Raw genomic sequence first — 2,198 nt, forward strand, 5'->3', positions numbered from 1 at the left:
CTTCTCACACCCTCTCTGATCGTACACGCTTCTCACACCCTCTGATCGAACGCGCTTCTCACACCCTCTCTGATAGTACGCACTTCTCATACCCTCTCTGATCGTACGCGCTTCTCACACCCTCTGATCGTACGCGCTTCTCACACCCTCTGATCGTACGCGCTTCTCACACCCTCTCTGATCGTATGCGCTTCTCACACCCTCTCTGATCACAGGTGCTTCTCATACCCTCTCTGATCATATGCGTTTCTCATACCCTCTCTGATCATACACTTTTCATACCCTCTGATCACATGCACCTTTTCGTGCCACATTGCTGGCATACTTACTAGCAAATTAGTAACATTTGACACTTGGTAGGGATAAATTTGTCAAAAAATTTTGACACTTTGTTTTTTGTTTGTTTGTTTGTTTTTCTTTTTTTTCCGAGACGGAGTCTCACACCGTCGCCCAGACTGGAGTGCAGTGGCGCGATCTCAGCTCACTGCAACCTCCGCCTCCCGGGTTCAAGCGATTCCCCTGCCTCAGCCTCCCGAGTAGCTGGGACTACAGGCGCGCACCACCAGGGTCAACTAATTTTTGTATTTTTAGTAGAGACGGGGTTTCACAATGTTGGCCAGGATGGTCTCGATCTCCTGACCTCGTGATCCGCCCGCCTCGGCCTCCCAAAGTGCTGGGATTACAGGCGTGAGCCACCGGCGCCCCACCAAAATTTGACACTTTGAAACTGCTTGTCATGAATCTTTTTTAAAGTCACATGAGTCAGGAACTGTATCTATCACAATATCATATCTATAATAATGATGATCTTGCTACACAGAAGTGCTATAAAATTTAACCAGTTTATTTTTGCATATAAAAACCAAAGTTTGCTTCTCAGATTTTAGAAAATACTATTTCCCTTATTGATCATAATACCTATGTTTTATGAAGTGTTATCTGCCAGTTTTTTACAGCTTAATTGATATGTAATTTACAAGCCACAAAATCCACCATTTAAAAGTGTGCAATTCAATGGCTTCAATATATTCACAGAATTATGCAATTATCACCACCATGTAATTTTAGAAAAATTTTCATCACTCCCCAGAATAAAAACATCCACACACCACTAAACTACTTTCTGTCTCTACAGATTTATATATTTGGGATATACAGTATAAATGGAATCATACAATATGTGGCCTCTTGTGACTAGCTTCTTTCACTTAGCATAATCCTTTCAAAGCTCATCTCATAGTACATGTTGTAGCATGTACTTAATTCCTTTTTATTGATTAATAATACTTTGTTATATGGATTTGCCACATTTTGTTTATCTATTCATCAGTTGATGCACATTTGTGTTGTTCTCACTTTGGGGCTATTATGAATAATGCTATTATGAATGCTGCCATATCCTTCATTTTTGGCCATATGCTTTCATTTCTGTTGGGTAGATACTTAGAAGTGAAACTGCTAAGTTAAATGTTCATTCTATGTTTAACATTTTAAGGAACTACCAGACCGTTTTCCAAAATGGTCACACCATTTCAAATTTCTGCCAGCAATGTATGAAGGTTTCAATAGCTCAACATACTCACCAACAATTGTTATTGTCTTTTTTATTTTAATCATCTTAGTGGGCATGAAGTGCATCTGTGGTTTTGATTTGCATTTCCCTAATGACTAATAATGTTGAATAACTTTGTATAAGCTTATCAGCCATTTATACGTTCCTTGGAGAAATGTCTATTCAAATCATTTTCCCATTTTCAATGGGTTATTTGTCTTGTTTTAGGGTTGTAAGATTTCTTTATCTATTTTGGATATAAATATTTTATCAGATATATGATTTGCAATTATTTTCTTTCAATCTATGGGTTATCTTTTTACTTTCATGATGTCTTTAGAAGCATAAAACTTTTTAATTTTGATGAAGTACAAGTTGTCTATTTTTTTCTTTTGTCACTTGCAATTTTGTTGTCAGGTCCAATAAATAATTGTCTAAACCAAGGTCAGGAATTCTTAGGCTTTTTCTAAAAATTTTATAGTTTAACTCACATTTAGGACTTTGATCCATTTGAGTTAATTTTTGTATATTCTGTGAGGTAGGGGTGCAATTTCATTTTTTGCATGTCCCAACACCAATTGTTGAAAAAATCTATTGTTTCACCCATTGAATTGTCTTGACAACCATTGAAAATCAGTTGGCCTCA

The sequence above is a fragment of the Homo sapiens genome, chromosome 4 (genome assembly GCF_000001405.40).
Source record: "Homo sapiens chromosome 4, GRCh38.p14 Primary Assembly".
Lineage (NCBI taxonomy): Eukaryota > Metazoa > Chordata > Mammalia > Primates > Hominidae > Homo > Homo sapiens.